The sequence below is a fragment of the Homo sapiens genome, chromosome 12, assembly GCF_000001405.40.
Source record: "Homo sapiens chromosome 12, GRCh38.p14 Primary Assembly".
NCBI lineage: Eukaryota > Metazoa > Chordata > Mammalia > Primates > Hominidae > Homo > Homo sapiens.
This window is the reverse complement of record NC_000012.12, coordinates 89,519,313-89,542,063: the sequence shown is the minus strand read 5'-3', so window position 1 is coordinate 89,542,063 and position 22,751 is coordinate 89,519,313. Positions and strand designations below refer to the sequence as shown.

General features: G+C 41.3%; 4 protein-coding genes and 1 long non-coding RNA gene across 17 annotated transcripts in view, besides 3 other annotated features; 4 read left to right on the top strand and 1 right to left on the bottom strand.

The window, feature by feature from the left end:
- Window positions 1-521: 521 nt before the first annotated feature.
- On the bottom strand, window positions 522-16,494 carry POC1B-AS1 (POC1B antisense RNA 1). The gene is made up of 2 exons (NR_146294.1): window positions 16,268-16,494; window positions 522-1,956 (listed from the first exon to the last, which is right to left on the bottom strand). It is a non-coding gene; the product is annotated as a POC1B antisense RNA 1 (long non-coding RNA).
- On the top strand, window positions 15,802-22,652 carry POC1B-GALNT4 (POC1B-GALNT4 readthrough). Of its 2 annotated transcripts, none has more exons than NM_001199782.1 (3): window positions 15,802-16,183; window positions 16,860-16,944; window positions 18,391-22,652. In NM_001199782.1, exons 1-3 carry the CDS (start codon window positions 15,909-15,911, stop codon window positions 19,249-19,251), a joined length of 1,221 nt encoding a protein of 406 aa, NP_001186711.1. In that variant the 5' UTR covers window positions 15,802-15,908; the 3' UTR covers window positions 19,252-22,652. The 2 variants fall into 2 exon arrangements, with proteins under 2 accessions (NP_001186711.1, NP_001186710.1); NM_001199781.2 differs by having other exon boundaries at window positions 16,017-16,183; window positions 17,624-22,652.
- POC1B-DUSP6 (POC1B-DUSP6 readthrough) overlaps window positions 16,017-22,751 on the top strand; it is a 177,983-nt gene continuing 171,248 nt past the window's right edge. For all 6 annotated transcript variants that reach the window (NR_189588.1, NR_189589.1, NR_189587.1 and 3 more), the window contains exons 1-2: window positions 16,017-16,183; window positions 16,860-16,944. Coding sequence is in view for 2 of the 6 variants with exons in the window: in NM_001425795.1 (NP_001412724.1) it covers window positions 16,169-16,183; window positions 16,860-16,944 (100 nt within the window). In the remaining 4 variants the exon portion in view is untranslated. The remainder of the gene's footprint in view (window positions 16,184-16,859; window positions 16,945-22,751) is intronic.
- The window catches only part of POC1B (POC1 centriolar protein B), a 124,581-nt gene continuing 117,846 nt past the window's right edge, over window positions 16,017-22,751 (top strand). For 5 of the 7 annotated variants that reach the window (NR_037659.2, NM_001425773.1, NM_001425772.1 and 2 more), the window contains exons 1-2: window positions 16,017-16,183; window positions 16,860-16,944. Coding sequence is in view for 3 of the 7 variants with exons in the window: in NM_001425772.1 (NP_001412701.1) it covers window positions 16,169-16,183; window positions 16,860-16,944 (100 nt within the window). In the remaining 4 variants the exon portion in view is untranslated. Of the gene's footprint in view, window positions 16,184-16,633; window positions 16,945-22,751 lie in introns of those variants that run through there. The other 2 variants (NR_037660.2, NM_001199777.2) reach the window with 1 other exon arrangement.
- Window positions 16,062-16,321: a silencer, noted in NCBI's record as "silent region_4694". NCBI's record gives its function as "represses an Ori minimal core promoter by ATAC-STARR-seq in GM12878 lymphoblastoid cells {active_cell/tissue: GM12878}" and the evidence as "EXISTENCE:reporter gene assay evidence [ECO:0000049][PMID:35858748]".
- Window positions 16,872-17,251: a silencer, noted in NCBI's record as "silent region_4693". NCBI's record gives its function as "represses an Ori minimal core promoter by ATAC-STARR-seq in GM12878 lymphoblastoid cells {active_cell/tissue: GM12878}" and the evidence as "EXISTENCE:reporter gene assay evidence [ECO:0000049][PMID:35858748]".
- GALNT4 (polypeptide N-acetylgalactosaminyltransferase 4) lies at window positions 17,268-22,652 on the top strand. Its single transcript, NM_003774.5, has one exon. It carries the CDS (start codon window positions 17,515-17,517, stop codon window positions 19,249-19,251), a length of 1,737 nt encoding a protein of 578 aa, NP_003765.2. The 5' UTR covers window positions 17,268-17,514; the 3' UTR covers window positions 19,252-22,652.
- Window positions 17,342-17,551: an enhancer, noted in NCBI's record as "active region_6707". NCBI's record gives its function as "activates an Ori minimal core promoter by ATAC-STARR-seq in GM12878 lymphoblastoid cells {active_cell/tissue: GM12878}" and the evidence as "EXISTENCE:reporter gene assay evidence [ECO:0000049][PMID:35858748]".

Sequence of the window (22,751 nt, the reverse complement as noted above, 5' to 3'; positions counted from 1 at the left end):
TAGGGAAATGGCCAACACTTCTTCGTGGGTGTTCTACTCAGCGGGAGACTGCAGGGCTTTGTTCTGTGGTTGGTATCCATGCTCTCCCCTTCAGAAGTGAGCAGGGAGCAGAGAGTTGCACCCGCTGATTGTAGGCATCTGGTGACCAAGAGGAATGTCAATCTGAGGAAGAAACTAGCATGGAGAGAGGGCAGAATCAGGAGGATCACTAGCAAACAGAACCGGGGCCTTGATCAGACTGTGCCCAAAGCTGTTATTATGCAAGCCGGCTTGAGATGTTTTTTTTTTTGTTACACCAGCTAAAAATATATGTGACATTTATGTTAACAAAAAAGCAACATTCATAGAGTGCAATTAGAAGACAACTTCATCCTTTTCTTCTTCTGCCCATTCAAACTCACATAAAGGGTTACTTCTTCCTCTGCCTCTGGATAAAACCTTGGTGGGGTCCAAGGGGGAGGGAAGGTCCTATCCTTATCTATTCTTCTGCTGAGGATAAAATGTCTTCCAGTCACCTCTAATTACAAAACAGTTTTATTTCAGTAATTAAAATATCCATTTCTATGTCATAGTCAAACCTCTGAAATTCATTTAACATGAAAACTTTTCTCTCCTGACTCCAGCCACTAAAAGCTACAGTGGGTGTTGGGTAGAGGAGGAGAATGTTCCTATTTCCTCATCTAACATGGGGAATAGTGGCTTTTTACCTATTTCCCCTCTTCTTCACTTACTGAGAGGTCTCTGGCTCCTCCTGGATTAAAGCAGAGGAAGGAGGAGAAATATGAGGTAAGTTAGGGTCTTATTCATGTGGACACTGCAATGTAATATGATGATGGTTCCCTCTCTTTGCATGTTTAAAAGCACCTCTCCCTGGGTTTGAGTCCCAGAGAGAACTGTTCCCATGGGCACTTCTGTGGGTTCTCTGAGGACCTCATTGGGCACATTCAGCTGTGTTATTTATGATGTGGACAATGTACTTTTCTCTCTCTGTCATTTTTATTCCTTTCTCAGCTCCTGGGGCCCTGACAACCCATCTTCCTGTTGGGTTTATGGCATCCTTTTGGGTTTTCCCGGGCTGCAGGCCTGCACTCTTTTTCTCCCATGCAGCTCACATCCAGTCCTGGAGATACACTCATGCATCTTTGTCCCCATCGTCACTGGAAGAACAGTCTGTTCCAAGAGCTGTCTGGTCTTTTCTCTCTGCCCTCAGAGCAGCCAGCCAGCCGCATCCTCTTGCCTTTTGATTTCACAGGCATGAGCTGCATGGCTGTCACTGTGCTGGAGGTATTTATCTCAAATATAGTCTAATCTCCTCTTAGCAGGCTTGAGGGAAGAGAGAGATAAGTCCCACCCTTCCCCCATAGGCGTGGGAAGTAGGCCTGAGACACAAACACACTGACATACTCTCCATTATTTCCAAACTCACCTTTGAGATGGATGTTTGCTGAGAGCCACAAAACTGGTTTGTTGCTCCCTCCGTGAAAGTCCTGTTTAGGTATTCTAGCCCTTCCCATAGAACAAAGAGTACTGACCATCTAATGTGTGGAGGCCTTAGCAGAAACAGACAGAAAAAGCAGACAGAGTCCCACTGTAGCATCCTAACCTACATGCATACTTTACCCCAGGTGGAATTCACTGCTGTAGAGATGGATCCTGTATAGATGTTCATCAAAGTACTGGCAGCATGTTGATGCACTTGACTTTAAAAGTCAGGGACTAAGTCAGGTGAACAAAACTAGGAACTCACGGACCAAATCCAACTGGTTAGAGAGGCAAGTGATTTATTCTCCGGCTCATGTTTCTATATGGAGGCATTTTCCAAGACTAACAATCCTGGCTTCTCTCTTTTGGCTTTCCTTGTCCTCCGTGGGGCAAAGTTATCTGGAAAGTCTGGAAGGGACCAGGCACACGCAGCTCAGCCTTTGCTGCTCTCCCCTCTCTTCACACTTGTGTTATCTGCAAGGAGGGGAATATTGTAGTTTACTATCTTGACTGGAGGGTTAGCTCTGCCTTGCTGGGGTGAAGGGCTTGATTTGTGGGGAGGATGGTTAGTTCAATTCGGGAGCTTTCTAGCAAGCCTATTTGGTTGTACACTTAAGCCAAATCCTTTATGGTTACATCATCAGTATCGAAGCTGACATTTTGACCTTAATCTGCCTGAAACCTGTGTGGCTTAACTGGTTCCACATTCGGGTGAGAAAGAGAAGTCTTATTTTGGAGGTTGCTTAAACACCATCAAAATCCACAGACATTATTTTCTTTTTTTTCCTTTGGCCCACATAGTCTTTAAATTTTTTTCAAATCAGTTTACAACTTTTAATATTAGGGAGCTTTTAGCTAGAGTTCTGGATTTCCAGCATATCATGATAATTTCAATGAGTTCACTGGGGTTGCATGCCTTGTGGCAATGATTCCTGAGAGGGGTTGGGGAGGGGAGGTAGTAGCTGCTCCCTTTAGATAAAGCATGTACTTTCTAGCTCTCCCCAGTTCCCAGCTAGTTAGGGTTGCTGCATTTAGCAAATATGAATGCAAGAAGCCTGTTTAAATGTGCAGAAAAGATAAACAACTATTTTATTTTTACTTTTTAGTGTAAGTAGGTCCAATGCAACTCATGCAATTCAGTTAAAGCACCCTATATTGTATCTGGCAACCCTACCTCAACCAGTTTTGTTATCCACTTGGGCTTAGAAGGTAAGTGAGCTTTTTACCCTTGTAGTCATTTTTACTTATTTTTATAAGTACAATACCTAACATACTACCTGGCCCATAGTAAGATGTTCAATAACATTGATGGAATGATTATATAAACATAGCCTGAAGACCAAAATCATATTCCATAGAAAATATCACTAGTCACATAGATGAATAAAGAGTAACAACCTCTTGCTGAGCGCAACTTGAATAAAGAGTACACATTTGCAATTATCTGAGGAGCAGATCTGAGCTGGAATTCTGGACCCTTGACTTAATAGGCGTGGCTTTACTGCTGACTAGCTGAATACAGTTGAGCCAGTTAATACGCCTTCATGAACCTTTGATTTCTCATCTCTAAAAGGAAGGAGAAACGCTTGCTCTCTAGGATTTCTACCAAAGTTAATGTTTTTTATTTTCTTTTGTTCTGAATATTCATCACAGAGAAAGATTAATATGTGCAGAATTTGACAGCAGTATTAGTCAGCAGCAGAACAGTCGATTAAAATTATGTAACTGGTGATAACAAGTCAGCTAATATACGAATAGGTTACTTCGTCACATTCCCAGGTAGTATTTTGAAAATGCCTCTTCTAATAAAGGTAATAGAAGCCTAGAAGCATAGCTTTTTCAAGAGGCTTTTTTTTGTTTTTGTTTTTGTTTTTTTAGACAGAATCTCATCTGTCAACTAAGCTGGAGTGCAGTGGCACCATCTCGCCATCTCGGCTCACTGCAACCTCCACCTCCTGGGTTCAATTGATTCTCATGCCTCAGCCTCCCGAATAGCTGCGACTACAGGTGCATGCCACCACACCTGATTAATTTTTTGTATTTTTAGTAGAGATGGGGTTTTGCCATGTCGACCAGCCTGGTCTTGAATTCCTGGCCTCAAGTGATCTGCCTGCCTCAGCTTCCCAAAGTGCTGGGATTCCAGATATGAGCCACAGCTCCTGGCCCTTTTTCAGGACTTTAAGATGCCATCAACTGACATGCACCATGATTTGAGATTTGATAACAGCTTCTTAGGGGAAAATATATCAATTATTACATCTCACGCCAATTCAAGAAATTTAAAAAGTGATTTTGAAAAAGTACATCTTGTAATGGAGAAATCTGGGTATACTATATATGGTTAATTTTAGGGTATTGACAATTATTTAAAACCTTATGGACACCAGGAGATCAACCCATGGTGAATCAACATTTATTAAGCATTTAACAAATGCCAGGCACTGTACTAAGTGCTTTCATTTAAATATGGGCCTCTTATATCAGTATTATTGACATTTGGGGTTGGCTCTTTGTTTTGAAGGCTGTTCTGTGCATCGTAGGATGTTTAGCAGCATCCCTGATCTCCATCCACCAGATGCCAGTAGCACCTACACTCTTACTTGTGATAACCATAAGTGTCTCTAGACATTGCCAAATGTCCCATGTGGGAAAACTTGTCCCTGGTTGAGAATCATTCATTTAAATTACTCTGTTGAATTGGGTAATTCACTACAATCCAGCAAGGCAAAGTCTTTGTGGTCCTCACTGTGTTCACACCATGCTCTGGTCTATGCAGTCCTGGAAGAAGGATGACTCCTCTGCCAATCTGTTTCCTACTTTGCCTCCAGGTTACACAAGCATAGCAGCCTGTGCCCAACTGTCTCACCAGACTCAATTTAAAAACCTGCTACTTCTGCTGCTTCCTGAGTCCTTTCTCTCCATGAGATTCAGACTAGGTCTGTGAGGCTGGAGAAGCAAAGACACCACGACACCGCCCTCTGACCTGTGTTCCTTCTCCCTCTTTTGATAAGAGTGTTTACCTAAACCTTAGGAAGGTCAGGAGATGGAGGGATATAGCTCTAACTTGTAATAAACACTATCTGTCAGGGAGGAGATGGTAATAATATCTACATTACCTCTGCGGTGCTAACTTCTAAAATGAATGTCACTTATTTTATGGAAATTAATGGAAATTTCCAGTCTCCTCTCTTTTCCCAATTACTTATTCATCTTAACTTGAAAATGTGCTAGTACTTAACTTTTTCACTAACAGCATAGCTGAATCCTTTATTGATCATTGATGTCTGGGTTGTAATGTTTTCATTCTGATCTTTAGTTATTTATCTGAATCTGGCATTCTCAGAAAGCTGTGAGCCTCTAAATCAGTAATCCTTGTGGGAATGAGGACACAACATCTTGGAGCAATATGCCAGAATCACCTGTGGGGCCTTTATTTAAAAATAAAATAAAATCTCAAGCCAGGCATGGTGGTTCATGTCTGTAGTCCCAGCTACACCAGAGGCTGAAGTAGGGGGATCACTTGAGCCCAGAAGTTCAAGGCTACAATGTGCTATGAGAGCACCTGTGGATAGACACTGCACTCCAGCCTGGCCAACATAGTAAGACTCCATTTCTAAAATAGTTTAAAAATAAAAATAAATAAAAAATAAAACTCAAGCCTATGTTTTCTGCCTTCAATCTCTGTCCCCAAAACAAAATAAAGATTATGACCCATCACTCACCTCATCCAGGGGTGTGTGGCCTCAACTGAGAATCAAAGCTCTGAGTGCATTAACCTTCACGTGTGTTGGGGAATACAAATGCTTGAAAAACTGACAAACATTTCTTGATTTTCATGTAGAAAAGGTCTTGATATTGAACTGCATTCAATATTCAATCCAAATTCCTCCAAGTGTTAGACTGTATAACTTTCCACAACTTTCTTCATGGGGAAGAATTATATGTCTCTACCAGATATGTGACTTTCCTTGGTCAAGGAAATCTTAGAAAGCCATCGTGGGCATCATCTGCTCTTTTCCAGCTGCCAGTCACCAATAATGTTTCTGACAGTGGCTTCGCTGACAGCCTATGTCCTGAAGTGAGGATAACAAGGACCTGAGAGTTGAGCCCTTAGTTGACTTCTGATGGCAACATAATGCGAGCAGAAAATAGAAGACTTCCTTATTTTAAGCCACTGAGATTTGGGGGTTGTTTCAGCAGCAAAACTTAGACCTTCGTGACTGATACAAAGGGCCAGGGAGATCATTTATGCCTGTGAATCAGACCATGTACAAAAATAACACAAGGAAGTGTACTGAGTCAAATTGAATATTTGGCTCACCTATAGGAGTTTAAATTTTAAAGAATGTTTGAACACATTAATGACCAAACAAAACATATCAGTGGACTTGTTTCAGTCAGTGGGCCACCAATTAGTGAGCAAGGTTACAAGGTTATAGAATAAAAGCTGTTTTCTCAATAAAATAAATACAACGAAAATGGCTCTGTATAAGATCACTAAATGGAGGGCTGGGCATGGTGGCTCACACCTGTAATTCCAACACTTTGGGAGGCCGAGGTGGGCAGATCACGAGGTCAAGAGATCAAGACCATCCTGGTGATCATGGTGAAACCCCATCTCTACTAAAAAATACAAAAATTAGCTGGGCATGGTGGCGCGCACCTGTAGTCCCAGCTACTCAGGAGGCTGAGGCAGAGAATAGCTTGAACCCAGGAGGTGGAGGTTGCAGTGAGCCGAGATCACACCACTGCACTCCAGCCTGGACGACAGAGCAAGACTCTGTCTCAAAAAAAAAAAAAAAAAATCACTAAATGAAGTAAACTACAGTAGTTTTTATAATTGAGAAGAAACCCTAGGGTGGCCAAGTTTAAAATATATTCTTATATTATGTTAGACACTGTTGAGATTTGGAATTTTCTTTTTAGATAGAAGAACCAATCTTTAAAAGAATCTAGTTTCCTTCTACTAAAATCACAATTCTATTGTAATACACAGTGAAGACTTTTAAGATTTTAAAAAATCCTCTAATTGTTTTACACAGATATTATCTCTTCCTCTTTTATTCCCTCATTAAGTCACAAAATTTTATTGGGTACCTACTATGTGCCAGTCATTGTTCTGATATATGGTGGATTAAAAAGAGAATGTCTCTGCCCTCATGGAGTTTATATCCTGGTGATGGTCCCACAAGTGATTCTGACATACTCCCTCTGAGGGTTTTGCCCTCATTCTCATGGGGATTACTCATAGAGAATGTATATTTCAGGGAGAGATAAGTGGTTGTTTATGCTTGCTTTTTTTAAAAAAAATCTTATTATTTTTAAGTATAAAAATCAGTGGTTTATTAGTACATTTATCAAGTTGCAGAACTGTCACCACTATATAATTCCAGAATATTTTATCACCCCAAGAAGAAACCAGTCCCTGGCACACAATCCATATTCTGTCTCTATGGATTTGGCTATTCTGAACATTTTATATGGATGGAACCATACATTGTGTCTGGCTTCTTTACTTAGCATAGTGTTTTCAAGTTTCATCCACACTGTAGCATGAATCAGTACTTCATTCCTTTTATTTGCCAGGCATATAAATGTGTATGGATGCAGCACATTTTATTTACCCATTAATCAGTCGATAGACATTTGGATTGTTTCCACTTTTGGCTATTGTGAGTAATGCTGCTATGAACATTTGTGTCTGCGTTTTTGTGTGGACATATGTATTCAATTATCAAGGGTACCTACCTAGGAGTGGAATTGCTGGCTGATAGGGTAACCCTATGTTTAACTTTTAAAGGAACTCCCAAATTCAAGAAGTCAAAAGAATTACCATAGGGCTCAGCAATTCCATTCCTGTGTAAAGAGCTATACAATTTTACATTCCCACCAGCAATTTATGAGGGTTTCCATTCCTTTACATCCTCACCAACACTTACTATTATCAGGCTATTTGATTATAGCTATCACAGTGGGTATGAAGTAGGTTTTGTGATGTTGATTTATATTTCCCCTATTGCCTAATGATGTTGGGCATCTTTTCATATGCTTACTGGCTATTTATATAACTTTTTGGTGAAATGTCTATCAAAATTGTTTGTCCTTTTTTACCTGGGAGGGATATGTGTTTGAAGAAAAATACAAGTGTAATGTTATAGAGAATGAAAGGAAGTGCTTATTTTGAAAATGTGGTAAGAACTAAGTGAAATGAAAGAAGTGAGTCTTGAAAAGATTTGGGAGAAGAGCATTCATGGCAGAGGAACTAGCAAGGGCTGTGAAAAAAGTATAACACAGTAATGGGATAGAAAATGACTGGAAGGCAGAGCCACAGCAAATAGAGTGGCCTAGGACAGGGATCCCTAACCCCTGGGCCATGTACCCGGTACCGGTCCATGGCCTGTTAGGAACCAGGCTGAAGAGCAGGAGGTGAACAGCAGGCGAGAGAGCCAGCATTATGGCCTGAGCTCTCTCTCCTGTCAGATCAGCAGAGGTGTTACATTCTCACAGGAGTGTGAACCCTATTGTGAAATGCACATGCAGGGATCTAGGTTGTGCGTTCCTTATGAGAATCTAATGCCTGATGATCTGAGCTGGAACACTTTTATCCTGAAACCATCCCTCCCCCTCATTCCCCTATCTATGGAAAAACTGTCTTCCATGAAATTGGTCCCTGGTGCCATAAAGGTTGGGGACTTTAGGAAGCCTCTTTGAGGAGTGACATCTTAGCCAAGACCTGCTAGCCATCATCAGTTCCATCTTGCCCTCATCTCTCTCACTACAGTCACTTGGAAGGTCTGAGTGATGCTTCACATCACAAATGCATAATCTTAGGATTGAGATGGAGAGGGAATGGGGGAATGTACCCTCTTTTCTTTCTAGTGGGAACAGAAAAATTTTTCTAAGTAGAAACCTATTACAACTGTCAAACTACATGGAATTGGCTAGGTAAATTGTAAATTATTACCATGATTTGACTTTTTGGAGACACTAAAAGCTACAGCCCTTTTTTTTTTTTTTTTTTTTTTTTTTTTTTTTTTTTTTTTTTTGGTAAAAGGGTAAAAATGAAAGTCTAAGCCCTAGAAGAGAAGTTACCAGATTCTTGGGATAAGTAAGATAGCCATTCACCAGGTACTGCTGGTTCAGGACCAAGGACAGCATCTAAGTGTTTCTGGGTTTTTTTTCCTGGCCCCCCTTCCCCTGTTCATTTTAATTATGCCATACCTAAACAAATATCTCTTTATGTTTCTACTGCTGCTACTCCAATAATGCCAGAATCTGTCAATTCTTGCAGTGCCTTCCATTTGGGGGAAGAGCATTCATGGTGGAAGAACTAGCAAGTGCTATGAAGAAAGTAAAACACAATAATGGGATAGAAAATGACTGGAAGGCAGAGCCACAGCAAATATAGTGGTCTAGGACAGGGATTCCCAACCCCTGGGCCACGTACCAGTACAGTCCTGTAAGGAACCAGGCTTCCATTGTACTGAAGTTCATCCCATGACTGTGATGCCTTTACTAATGTGCATTCTTTCAACAGTTTACCCCTATGTTCTTCATTGAAGTAACATACACATAACATTTACCATGTAACCATTTATAAGTGTATATAGTCCAATTATATTACATATATTCACATTGTTTTGTAACCATCACCACAGTCCATCTCCAGAACTTTTTCAGTTTCACAAACTGAAACTCCACGCACCCATTAAACAATAATTCCCCATGCTCTCTCCCCACAGCCCCTGGCAAATGGCAAACACCATTCTACTTTCCTTTTTTTTTTTTTTTTTTTTTTTTGAGACAGAGTCTTGCTCTGTCACCCAGGCGGGAGTGCAATGGCATGATCTCCACTCACTGCAACCTCTGCTTCCCGGGTTCAAGCAATTCTCCTGCCTCAGCCTCCCGAGTAGCTGGGATTACAGGTGCCCACCACTGCGCCCAGCTAATATTTGTATTTTTAGTAGAGATGGGGTTTCGTCATGTTGGCCAGGCTGGTCTCGAACTCCTGACCTCGGGTGATTCACCCACCTCGGCCTCCCAAAGTGCTGGGATTACAGGCGTGAGCCACCGCGCCCGGCCCATTCCACTTTCTGTCTCTCTCCTTACTACCTTTTTGTTTACTCTGCTGATTGTTACAGGATGGTTCACTGTCAGCATAAGCATCATACCTAGGAACCTGTACTTATTATAAATGTAAATTCTTGTGCCACAATCCAGACAGACTGAAACAGAAACTCTGGAGTGGAATCTGCATTATATCAAGTGCTTTGGGTGACTCTGATCCCCGCTAAGGTTTGAGAACCATTGATCTAGTGGCTTTAAGTATAAAAATCAGTAGTCTTTAGTACTTTGAAGTTGTAAACCTATCACCACTAATTCCAGAACATTTTCATCACCCTAAAAAGATTCCATTTTTTCATTAGTAATCCCTCCCCATTCTTTCCTCCCCCTAGTCTCTGGCAATCATTAATCCACTAATTCTACCACTTTAAAAAATCACAATTGAAGTCCTTCTTCCCCTATAAGTCTTTCCTGATACAAAAACATTTCCAAAGACCAATCAAATGTCTTAAGTACATTTGACACTATAGAAATACAATACTATGGTTATTATACAGATATTTTGTAACATTCCCATGGTTATGATTGACCTACTGCTCCACATAACTTTCATTGATTGTTTCATGTGGTGAGTCCTGTTTCCCTAATTAGATTTTAAGCTGTTTGACCTAAGCATCCCCATCAATGGATGAATGGATAAAGAAAATGTGATATATATATATATATATATATATGTGTGTGTATATATATATACACACATACACACACACACACACACACACACATATATATATATATACACACACACAATGGAATACTATTCAACCATGAAAAAGAATGAAATCATGTCATTTGCAGGAACATTAATAAAACTGGAGAACACTATGTTAAGTGAAATAAGTCAGGCACAGGAAGATAAATATTACACGTTCTCATTAATATATGAGAGCTAAAAAAGTTGATCGCATGGAGATAGAGAGGAGTGGAATGATAATTCTCTTTCTCCCAGAGAATGTGAAGGATGTGTGGGTGGGAGGGGGAAATGAAGACAGGTTGGTTAACAGGTACAATCATACAGTTAGATAGAAGAAATAAGTTCTAATATTTGATAGCAGAATCAGGTGACTATACACAACAATAATGCACTGTACCAAAATGGCTAGAAAATTTGAAATGTACCTGACATATAGAAATGATAAATCCTTAGGTGATGGATACCCTAAATGCGCTGACTTGATCATTATACATTTTATGCATGCAACAAAATTTCACATGTACCCCATAATGTACAAATAGAGTGTATCGATAAAATTACAAGATACTTTAAATTATTGGAGGACAATGATCATGTTTTCTATTTATTTTGTAGACTTTTTCAGTAACTATAGAGCTGGCCAGCCACACTGTCATCTTTCAATCAATGCAGAAAATGTTTATTATGCCCCTACTATGTGTCAGGGATTGTGGTGCCTGTAGAGTGATACTAAAATGAGTAGAACACAGTTCTTATCTTTACTGACCTTTCACTACAGTTAAGTGCTGATAGACACATAAACATGATGTAGATGTAAAGGCAGCAACATAAAATAGTGCTAAAAAGAACTCTAAGTTTCATACCATCAGGACCCAAAGGAAAAATAATGTTTTATTTTTATAAGGAGGAATAGGTTCAGAGAAAGATGATTTTACATGAACATATCTTCCCAAGTCCTGAGGTATGTTTCTTTGTGTAGAAGTTGGAGCAAGAGAGTAGCACAGGCATTCATGAGTACAGAAACCGCTCTAGCAAAGGCTCCAAAGGGTGGGTGTGTGTGGTTAACTGCAATGGCTTAAGGATTGGCCCAGGGGAGATGAGTGGTTAGATATAAAATAGGACTTGGTTTGAGGCATTTAAAAGTGAACTTAAAGTGCATTTTAAAGATCTATGGCATGATATGCCAGTGGTTCCCAAATGTTGATGCATATTATAATCACCTAGAAAGCTTGTTTGAAAACAGATTTCTAGTATTCACACTAGACCTTCTAAATCAAAACCTCTGGGGTGAGGCCTAAAAACATTTACTTTTAGCAAGATACCCTGGTGAATCTTATGTTATTTGTTGGTAAATGCAGGGTGGACAGGTGGAGGGGAGAAGTTTTGAAGTCAGAAAGCAAGTTGGTGGTTACTAAAATATTCTAGGAGGCAGAAGGCAGGGTCTGTGGAGTGACAGGAGCCATTAGACAGAAAGATAGGAAGATAAAATATATGATGAGGAGCATGCTTGTAATCCCAGCTACCTGGGAGGCTGCTGCAGGTGGATCACTTGAACTCAGGAGTTCAAGGCCAGCCTGGGCAGCCCATCATATATATTATATATATATATATGGTGAGGAGGTAGTTGATAGGACTTGGAGACTGAATGTTAACTTAAATGAATCATGCAGTTTTCAAAAATGTAATTCATTATTGATTCAAACCCATCTTGTACTTTTCCATGTGCTCTCCTATACTTTGGAGGAAGTGTATCAACAAGGGAGTTCCATTGCCTGTAAACAGGCTCAAAATATGTTCACTCCAAGTGCTATATAGTAAGGTGAACAGTAGATGGCACTTTTGTACTATGCTGAATTTCCAAATTTGAAGGCCAAGGAAGAACCAGTGCTAAAATAAAAATAACTCTTTATAATGCTCAAGTAAGTACATTCAATTTCTGTTTTAGGGGGAACTGTATAAGAAGGGCTAATTAGAGGTCAGTTTGTCCTAGCTAGTACCCGGCCTCCAGTAAAACCTTGTAGGTTTTTAAATACTGATCCTGCTTGTGGCTCCCACCCACATAAATGATTAGGTTGCAGTCCAGAGAGGTCTAAATAATCATTGTAGCAAGTGGAATTAGGCTTGAGGTTAGAAAAAACTTCCCCAACTTTGACCACATTTCCAATTGTCTACCTCTGAGCTTTTGCTATTTGCAAAGGTGAAGAAAAGCCGAAAAGAACAAAATCAAATACTATGGAAAAGAACAATGGGAAGGGCAGTTTAGAGTAATAAATGAGGACAGTGGAATGAAAATAAAGGAGATATTACTTTCATTTTGTAAAACTTATTATTATAAACCTTGGCAAGAATGCAATGTTTTATACATTTACATAACACTTGCAATCACACAAAAGTCATGACAGTGATTAAGAGAGTGGATTCTGGGCCAGGTGAGGTGGCTCACACCTGTAATCCCAGCACTTTGGGAGGCCGAGACAGGCGGATCACGAGGTTAGGATATTGAGACCATCCTGGCTAACACGGTGAAAACCAGTCTCTATTAAAAAAAAAATACAAAAAAAATTAGCCGGGCTTGGTGGCGGGCGCCTGTAGTCCCAGCTGCTCGGGAGGCTGAGGCAGGGGAATGGCGTGAACCTGGGAGGCGGAGCAGCTTGCAGTGAGCCGAGATCGCGCCACTGCATTCCAGTCTGGGCGACAGAGTGAGACTCCGTCTCAAAAAAAAAAAAAAAAAAGAGAGAGTGGATTCTGGAGGCAGACTGCGAGTGTCTAAAAATCTCAACTCTGCCACTTCCTAGTTAGCAGTGTGCCTTGGGCAAGTAACTTAATGTCTTTGCATATCAATTTACTCATCTATAAAACGGAAATGGTAATAATAGCACATCTCTAATAAGATCGTTATGATCACTAAATGTCAAAATTTGTAAGGTACTTAGAAAAGTCCTGGCATGTAGTGAAAACATAGGTAGGTATATTAGTCCGTTCTCACATTGCTATGAAGAACTACCTGCGACTGGGTAATTTACAAAAAAAGCGGGTTTAATTGGCTCATGGTTCTGCAGGCTGTACAGGAAGTATGGCTGGGGAGGCCACAGGAAACTTACAAACATGGTGGAAGGCAAAGGGGAAGAGAGCATGGCTGCTCCATGGCTGGAGCAGGAGGAAGAGAGCAAAGGGGGAAGTGCTACACACTTTTAAACAACCAGATCTCGTGATAACTCACTCAGAACAGCAAGGGAGAAATCCACCCCCATGATCCAATCACCTCCCACCAGCCCCCTCCTCCAACACTGGGGATTACAATTCTACATGACAGTTGGGTGGGGACACAAATCCAAACCATATCAGTAGGTGACAAATTTTTTAAGATCAACTTTAGGTAATAGGATTAATATGTAGTTTCCCTCCCATCTTTTAAATTTAAAACATGTGTTTCTTGATAATTGAGAAAAAAAGTAAAAGCTAAACTTTTACTAAAACACTTAAATAAAAATCTATATTTTTTCTTCTTGTGAGCTAGTTTCTAAATCTCCAACTTCTTCCCTTTTCTGCTTCTCCTGTGCCCAATATTAGACGTAACATACCTATGAGTAATCCTGAGGTCCTGATTACTCTTCAGCTTCTGGCATTATTATTTTATTATTGGGGTGAAATACCTGTAATGAAATTTACCATTTTACCCATTTTTTAGGTGTACAATTCACTGGCATTAAGTACATTCACAATGTTGTGCAAACATCACCACTATCTATTTCCAGAACTTCATCATCCCAAACAGAAACTCTGCACCCATTAAACAGTAACTCCCCAGTCTCCCTTACCCCCAGCCCTAGTAACCTCTATTCTACTTTCTGTCCTTATGAATTCACCTATTCTAGGTACCTCATATGAATGGAATCATACAATATATGCTCATTTGTGTTTGGCTTATTCACTTAGCAAAATGTTTTCAAGGTTCATCCATGTTATAGCTTGTATCACAATTTCATTTCTTTTTATGGCAGGATAATATTTCCTTATATGTATATATCACATACATTTTGTTTATCCATTCATCTGTTGGATACTAGGATTGTATCCACTTTTTGGCTATTGTAAATAATGCTTGCTTTGAACACTGGCATCTGTTGGAGTCTCTGCTTTCAATACTTATGGGATATACCTAGCAGTGAAATTGCTGGATTATAAGGTAATTGTATGTTTAACTTTTTAGGAACTGACAAACTTTTTCACAGAGCTACATCATTTTACATTCCCACCAGTATCCAGCATTAGTTTTAAACATGGCAGGCTTTTAAAATAAATCAAGCCTAAACTGGTAATATGTAGCAAAACTAAGAGTCCTGCAACAGTTTGCTGACAAGTTGCTGATATCAACACTCTTAACATATCATCTCCTAGACTAATGCAGTGTTTCTCAACATAGACAGCTGAGACTCCCATAGTAATCATCTATGGAGCTTGTTACATCAGAAGGGCCCTGGATCCCACCTTGTATATGTTGATTCAGCATCTCTGGAAATGGAGCCCCCAAATCAACATTACAAATGCTAAAGCATGAGACTCACCAACCCTAGATTGCTGAGTTCTTGAAGGTAGGGGAAATATCTTAGTCATCATTGTGTCCCTCAAGGCCAAACATACAACAGATATTTAACAAGTGTATACTTAAATTAACTAATACTGTAATCTAAAGCCTACCTGTTTAGTTGTTAAGTACCATATTCAATAAAATTAAACTCAATCACTAGACAACTAGGGAATCTGTAATTAAGGTGTGTAGCATACCTTTCATTTGCATAAAACACATGTCTTACCAGCTGTGTTCTATCATGCCCTTTGATGTTGCTAAGGATCTTTACACTATATGTAATTTTCAGCTCAGAACATCACGCTTTGAGGCAGGGTTAAAAAAAAAAAAAGGATATGGACTTGGAATTAGAAGAACTGTCTCTGTGTGACCTCTAAGACCAATATCTAGGAATCAAGTTTATAACTTGGAAACATTGAAAACATTTTGTAATTCTACCAACTTCATTGTTTGGCTGAAGCACAAATGATACTATGTGTAACAAAGCCTGCTGTAGAAACGTGGTCTCACAAAAAACAAACAAAAAAAACCATGTTTCCAAGTCTTCCTAAAGACTTTAAGTATCCAGCTGTGTAAGTTTAGTGCTCTAAGGTATACGCAAATAAGCAGATGAGAATGGAAACATATCGCAGAAAATTATTAAGTGCATGCACAACATTTATTCATTCATTCACTCATTCATTCATCACGCACATCCAGCAACTATATCAATATCCTGCAGGGCACTGTGTGGAAAACAGTGGTTAAATAAATTCAAATCTGCCCTCAGGGGATTTAGTTCCTTTTAGTATATTAATAACTAGCAAGCTGCCCCTCTTCATGTCAAAGCTTTACGTCAACAAAATAAGCGGTAGGGGATCACCTTAAACGTCACGGGTGCTGTCTCTTTAAAACGTAATAGAACTCTGATCGCATCGATCACAGGCTCACAACGCCCTTCCATTCATCGCTCTTATTCCAGTCCTGGTTACTACCCCACTTCCTGACATCAAACCAGGGAGAACGCGAGTGTTAGTTAACATGGCTTGGTGTGTGGCCACAGCTGACCCGGCGCATACCTCCCGTCCTCTCTTTACAGGGCTGGCGGTGTCTCGGGGCTCGGCTGGCCATGCCTGGAGCGCGGGGTTTGACTGGGCCGCCGTTGTTGTAGTGACCGGGAGGCGCTGCCGCTCTGGGCAGACGGTTCCGGGAGCCGCACGGTCCCCTCTCCTTCCCCATCCTCTCCCCTCCCCTCTCCGGGTTCCCCCACCCACAGGAGCCTTGGGCCGACCACTCCCCCGATGGCCTCAGCCACGGTAAGGACGGGTTGGAGGTGGGGGGGGTCCCTCCCTGGAGCCTGTCCCGCGGGCTGCGGGGCCAGGTCCGGGCCGAAGCCGCACCTGGAGGGAGATGGAGGCAGGTGTCCGTAGCCGGGTCCTGAGCCCCTCGTCCCGGGGCGTCCGTATCTCACTCTCTGCCATCGGGGCGGACGGAGTGCGGAACCCAGACCCGGCTCCCGGACGCTCTTCCCCGAGTTCCGGAGCTCCGGACTGAGCTGGGCGGCCCCACGGCCCCCAGAATTCTCGGAGGGTTTCCGTGGAGCGCCTGCGTCAGAATCACCTAGGAAGTATTAAAAAAAAAAAAAGTACCAAAGCCGAGGCGCATCCTCGCACCTGCCTGCCTTGGGCCAGCGGGCGGGGCCCGGGAACGTGCATTTCAAAGGGGCCGCGGTTCCTGCGATGCGCTGGACTCTGGGAAGCGCGAACAGAGCGTTTTGCGGGCTCTGCGGGGAGAGCTGGCGCCGGCGTCTCCCTGTAGCAGGACTGGGCGCCGCGCCCGTGGGTGGGCTGCTGCCCGGCCCCGCCGCCCAGCCAAGCCGCCGCCTGGGTGGCCATTCCCAAGCCGGACTCCGGGGAAGTGGCAGCGTGGATCCCAGCCGCCAGAATTCGAGGTCTGCGGCGGCTTTCAAAACTTGACAACTTTCCTTTCCAGGAGGACCCCGTTCTGGAGCGTTATTTCAAAGGCCACAAAGCTGCGATCACCTCCTTGGACCTCAGCCCCAACGGCAAGCAACTTGGTAAGTCTTATTCTTGTTTTGCTTTTGTAATGAGACTAAACTCCATGGGCCGGAAACCTTTCCTCCTGTCCGGGCAGGGTCCCTAGGAGAACGGCTAAGGGCCTGTATGAGGGTTGAGAGCACCCGGAGACGAGGGCCCAGCGCGGCGGGGCGCAGCTAGGGCCCCCTCTGCCATCCCGGCCCCCAGCCCCCGGCCCGGCCAAGAGCCTCCTATCCAGCGGTCTGGGCCTGGCGGACGACTTTCGCAAACTAACCACCAGGAGGAGTGAGTGGGAAGGGGAGGGGTTTCTCCTCGGCCCGGGGAGGGTGGGGTGTTGGCTGGAGAGTTTGTGAAAAGTTGTGAGCCGAGCAGGAGGAAGTAGGGAGAGAGGAGTTGGGCTGTGCCGGAGGCCGAGGACCGAGAGGGCTCAGGTGACCCCTGGAAAGCCTGGGTGGCTGGAAAGGAGCCTAGCGCCTGCATGAAAGGAAGAACCTGCTGGGAAGTACCTGAGCTCGAGCTGTGGGTTCCGCCGCCCTTCCCCTGCGTGGTGGCTTGGTGGCCGCGTCTGCGCCTCAGCCCTGAGAATCCGGATGGCGGTGAGGTGGACTTGGGCAGGCAAGAGCTGCCTGCTGCTGGCGTTTTTAACAGTGGCCTATATCTTCGTGGAGCTCTTGGTCTCTACTTTTCATGCCTCCGCAGGAGCCGGCCGTGCCAGGGAGCTGGGGTCAAGAAGGCTCTCAGACCTCCAGAAAAATACGGAGGATTTGTCTCGACCGCTTTATAAGAAGCCCCCTGCAGATTCCCGTGCACTTGGGGAGTGGGGGAAAGCCAGCAAACTCCAGCTCAACGAGGATGAACTGAAGCAGCAAGAAGAACTCATTGAGAGATACGCCATCAATATTTACCTCAGTGACAGGATTTCCCTGCATCGACACATAGAGGATAAAAGAATGTATGAGTGTAAGTCCCAGAAGTTCAACTATAGGACACTTCCTACCACCTCTGTTATCATTGCTTTCTATAACGAAGCCTGGTCGACTTTGCTCCGTACCATTCACAGTGTTTTAGAAACTTCTCCTGCAGTTCTTTTGAAAGAGATCATCTTGGTGGATGACTTGAGTGACAGAGTTTATTTGAAGACACAACTTGAAACTTACATCAGCAATCTTGATAGAGTACGCTTGATTAGGACCAATAAGCGAGAGGGGCTGGTTAGGGCCCGTCTGATTGGGGCCACTTTCGCCACTGGGGACGTCCTCACTTTCCTGGATTGTCACTGTGAGTGTAATTCCGGTTGGCTGGAACCGCTTTTGGAAAGGATTGGGAGAGATGAAACAGCAGTTGTGTGTCCTGTTATAGACACAATTGATTGGAATACTTTTGAATTCTATATGCAGATAGGGGAGCCCATGATTGGTGGGTTTGACTGGCGTTTAACATTTCAGTGGCATTCTGTCCCCAAACAGGAAAGGGACAGGCGGATATCAAGAATTGACCCCATCAGATCACCTACCATGGCTGGAGGACTGTTTGCTGTCAGCAAGAAATATTTTCAGTACCTTGGAACGTATGACACAGGAATGGAAGTGTGGGGAGGTGAAAACCTTGAGCTGTCTTTTAGGGTGTGGCAGTGTGGTGGCAAATTGGAGATCCACCCGTGTTCCCACGTGGGCCATGTGTTCCCCAAGCGGGCACCATATGCTCGCCCCAATTTCCTACAGAATACTGCTCGGGCAGCAGAAGTTTGGATGGATGAATACAAAGAGCACTTCTACAATAGAAACCCTCCAGCAAGAAAAGAAGCTTATGGTGATATTTCTGAAAGAAAATTACTACGAGAGCGGTTGAGATGCAAGAGCTTTGACTGGTATTTGAAAAACGTTTTTCCTAATTTACATGTTCCAGAGGATAGACCAGGCTGGCATGGGGCTATTCGCAGTAGAGGGATCTCGTCTGAATGTTTAGATTATAATTCTCCTGACAACAACCCCACAGGTGCTAACCTTTCACTGTTTGGATGCCATGGTCAAGGAGGCAATCAATTCTTTGAATATACTTCAAACAAAGAAATAAGGTTTAATTCTGTGACAGAGTTATGTGCAGAGGTACCTGAGCAAAAAAATTATGTGGGAATGCAAAATTGTCCCAAAGATGGGTTCCCTGTACCAGCAAACATTATTTGGCATTTTAAAGAAGATGGAACTATTTTTCACCCACACTCAGGACTGTGTCTTAGTGCTTATCGGACACCGGAGGGCCGACCTGATGTACAAATGAGAACTTGTGATGCTCTAGATAAAAATCAAATTTGGAGTTTTGAGAAATAGAGCACAACAGCACTTTCGTCATGAGCTGACAGTAGTGTCAAGAAAGTCAAAGAGCCTTAAGAGCCTCAGTGAAGATTGTATTTTATTTTATCAAAAGCCACCTAGCAGTCATCTGTGGAGCACTGGAAAGCTGGGGTTCATTTTGGTATATCACACTGAAACTGGGTACCCAGAGTGCTGCTGTTTAATATTTCACAATGCCTTACTTATTGGTTGTTTTATATAAGAGTTTTGTCAATATGGTCTCTTCTTAAAAGAAGTTGACTATGAATTGAAACACACAAAACATTTAAGTGCCAGACTTAATATTAAAGAATGTAAAGGTCCAAGTAAAATGAGGTATGATTTATGTTGATGTGTAAGTTCACCGCACATCCCACTTTTTAACAAAACTCATGAATGTGCAGTTTGAGCCATTGCTATTTTGATTACATAGAATTTGTATTTCTTTTTTAGCCAGCACATTAAATTTTAGATTTTATTTTTTAATCTAATTTTTTTCTAATCAAAAAGAAAATTGAGCTTAAGGCAAAAGGCCTGGTTTTAGAGATATGTGTAATTGGAAGAGGGCATTTGTTTGAGTGTGAGTTTGGAGGCCTTTTTAACATGCAGACATACCCATATTTAAATGAAATGGGGAGATATTTACATTCCGTACTTTGTAAACTTGAGCTATTGGACTTCACTGATGTATATATTAATACCTCAGATTCCTCTGATTTTGTAAGCTGTCTTCTCTGTGAACGTGTTTGTGTGTGTAGGGCATTTTCTGATTGCACTTCCTTAAGTTATGAATGTACTAGAAAGGGACTCATCCAGAATACTATGCCTCCCTTTGTTAATGCTTAATCATTTAAAGTAAACACAATTGAAGCCTCTCTGAAGTTAAACCCAACTATGTTTATTAAAATGTGTGAAACTGAAAGTGGGCTAGGTTCTACCAAGGCTGTGGAACTCTCCTACGAGTTCTGCTGATCAGGAAATTTAAGAATTTATCTTAAAAATGCAAGGAAAAAAGACTGCCTTGGCAATTGTGAATGGTGCTTTCAATCTCCTAGCACCGAGCCTGGCACTTAGGCAGCTTTCAGTAAGTGGGTGAATGAATGACTGAATGAATGAATGAATGGCTCAGCTGAGGAATGTAACTTTGGTCAAGTTATTATGATGTGTTTGGGCTTAGTTTTCTCATTGGTAAAATGTGGGTGCTGGATTGGATCTTAAAGATCCCTTCCAGCTCTGAAATGCTGATTGTACAGTATATTCTTCCCAGATTGACTCACTGTGCAATCTTTACAATACTTTTTATCTTTTCACTTTTGACATAGGTAATGTTGTTGAGCAGTTGAGCAATGTTCAGTCCAGTTGTGAAGCTGGAGAAGAGAAATGGGTTTTAAAAATTAAGTGAGGGGAGGCCGGGTGCGGTGGCTCACGCATGTAATCCCAGCACTTTGGGAGGCCAAGGCAGGTGGATCACGAGGTCAGGAGATCCAGACCATCCTGGCTAACATGGTGAAACCTCGTCTCTACTAAAAATACAAAAAATTAGCCAGCTGTGGTGGCGGGCGCCTGTAGTCCCAGCTACTCAGGAGGCTGAGGCAGGAGAATGGCGTGAACCTGTGAGGCAGAGCTTACAGTGAGCCGAGATCGTGCCACTGCACTCCAGCCTGGGCGACAGAGCAAGACTCTGTCTCAAAAAAAAAAAATAATAATAAAATAAGTGAGCTGAACTCACCTGAAGTGGTTTACTTCTGTGGGTTAAGAAGTTCTAGTCAGTGTTCATAGTCGTTTCGTTTTGATAATTGTTGAACCAATTTTGTTTTTAAAACCTTTAGACTCTGAAAGTAATATTTTGACTAAGAATGTAAATATTTCCAAACTAAATTACTCGGGAAGTAAACGCTTTTTTTAAAAGTATTTTTACTGGTTTTATACCAATATTATATGCAGAAATCACAGGATGAATTTAGAATTAAATCTCAATTAGTTCACTTTGGCCTAGATTTATGAAAAATGCATGCCTCGTAAAGAGTCCACTGTATTCACGAGTAAAGTTGCTTTTAGTGTTCACTTGATGACTTGGAGAGTAGGAATTTTGCAAAATCTGAATTTAAGGAAATTCTTTAGGATAACCATTTCAAAAAATAAAATTGCTATGCAATCTTGAATATTTTCTCTTTTGCCTCGTAAAATGAAAATGCATTCACAGTTTCTGTAAATTATTTAGCAGCCTTAAAGTTTATCAAAAAATTGTCCAGATTCCACGTGCAGCATGCTTGGCCCTGCATTTAATTTAAGAAGGATTAATAATAATGCTCTGAATTTTTCGAAAGGGATTCTCCTAAACCCACCCACTTCTCTTGCCCAGGCTGCTTTTTAAAAATATTTTTTTATTTTTTACTTATTTTTAAATTTTCTCTTTTTATTTATTTTTGGTTTTCTTGTTAGCCACCTGTTATATGGGAGAACGAAAATTGTTATATTTTGAAAGTACTTATTACATTATTTTTATTTTAGTATCTTGATGCTCCTGTCAAAAGGGAAATGAGGCTTTTAAAAATAAAGTACCTTAATTCTTTATTGACTTTTTGCCCTAAATTGCTAGGTGTGACCCAGCAATCTTTTAGGAAGAGATTTTACAGTGGTGCTTTATTTATATCAATAATCCAGTATAGTTAGGCTGTTCATTCCTCATAATAGAGTACATAACAGAAAAGTGGGACTTTCACATTTTCATATTTAGGCACGTTCCAATTTAATTCCAAAAATACTCTGTAATTCTACATCTAAAAAAACCGATTCCCTAATTCGAATTTATTGGTACCAAAGCTCTCTTTGGCTATAGACAATTAAGAGTTGACCTTTTAAGTTAATGTATATGCTTAAAAACAGTTTTAGGAAAATATTTGGTAGACAAAGAGTTTCAACTTTAAATGTTCACTATGTCATTTAGTGTCCAACTTTACGGATAGGTTGACTATCTAAATAGGCATTTTTAGTCATTAAAAAAAATCTAGTCACCAGGAGGATCCCTATAACTCAAAATAACTTGTTTGTAAAAGAAAATTTGTTTACTTACCCATTAGTAAGTTCCTGCATATTCATTATAAGATGGCAAATCAAACTTTTCTAGGATGAAGACAGCTTATTTTTAAGTTGTATAGTCTTAGTTGGTTTAGGGTCTCAATTTTAATTAATAAAATACTTGGTTTTTATTTGCTTGTCCTTTTGAATTCCTGTTTTAATAATTTTAAAATGAGCACAAAGAACGTTGAAGTTCAGATTAATCTCTTCTGAATGATGTTTTTTTCCTCTGTGATGAGTTGTTTCTGACTTTTTTCCTTTTGTATTTGTAATGTTGATTAAGATGTAAAATAAAAAGTGTGCCTGATTATTTTTGCAAATAGATTGTGATTATTTTAGCCTATGGGAACATACTCCTATGTATACATTTATAATGGCAATGGAAGTAAGTTCAGCTTGCAGTTCTTTTACTTATTTGA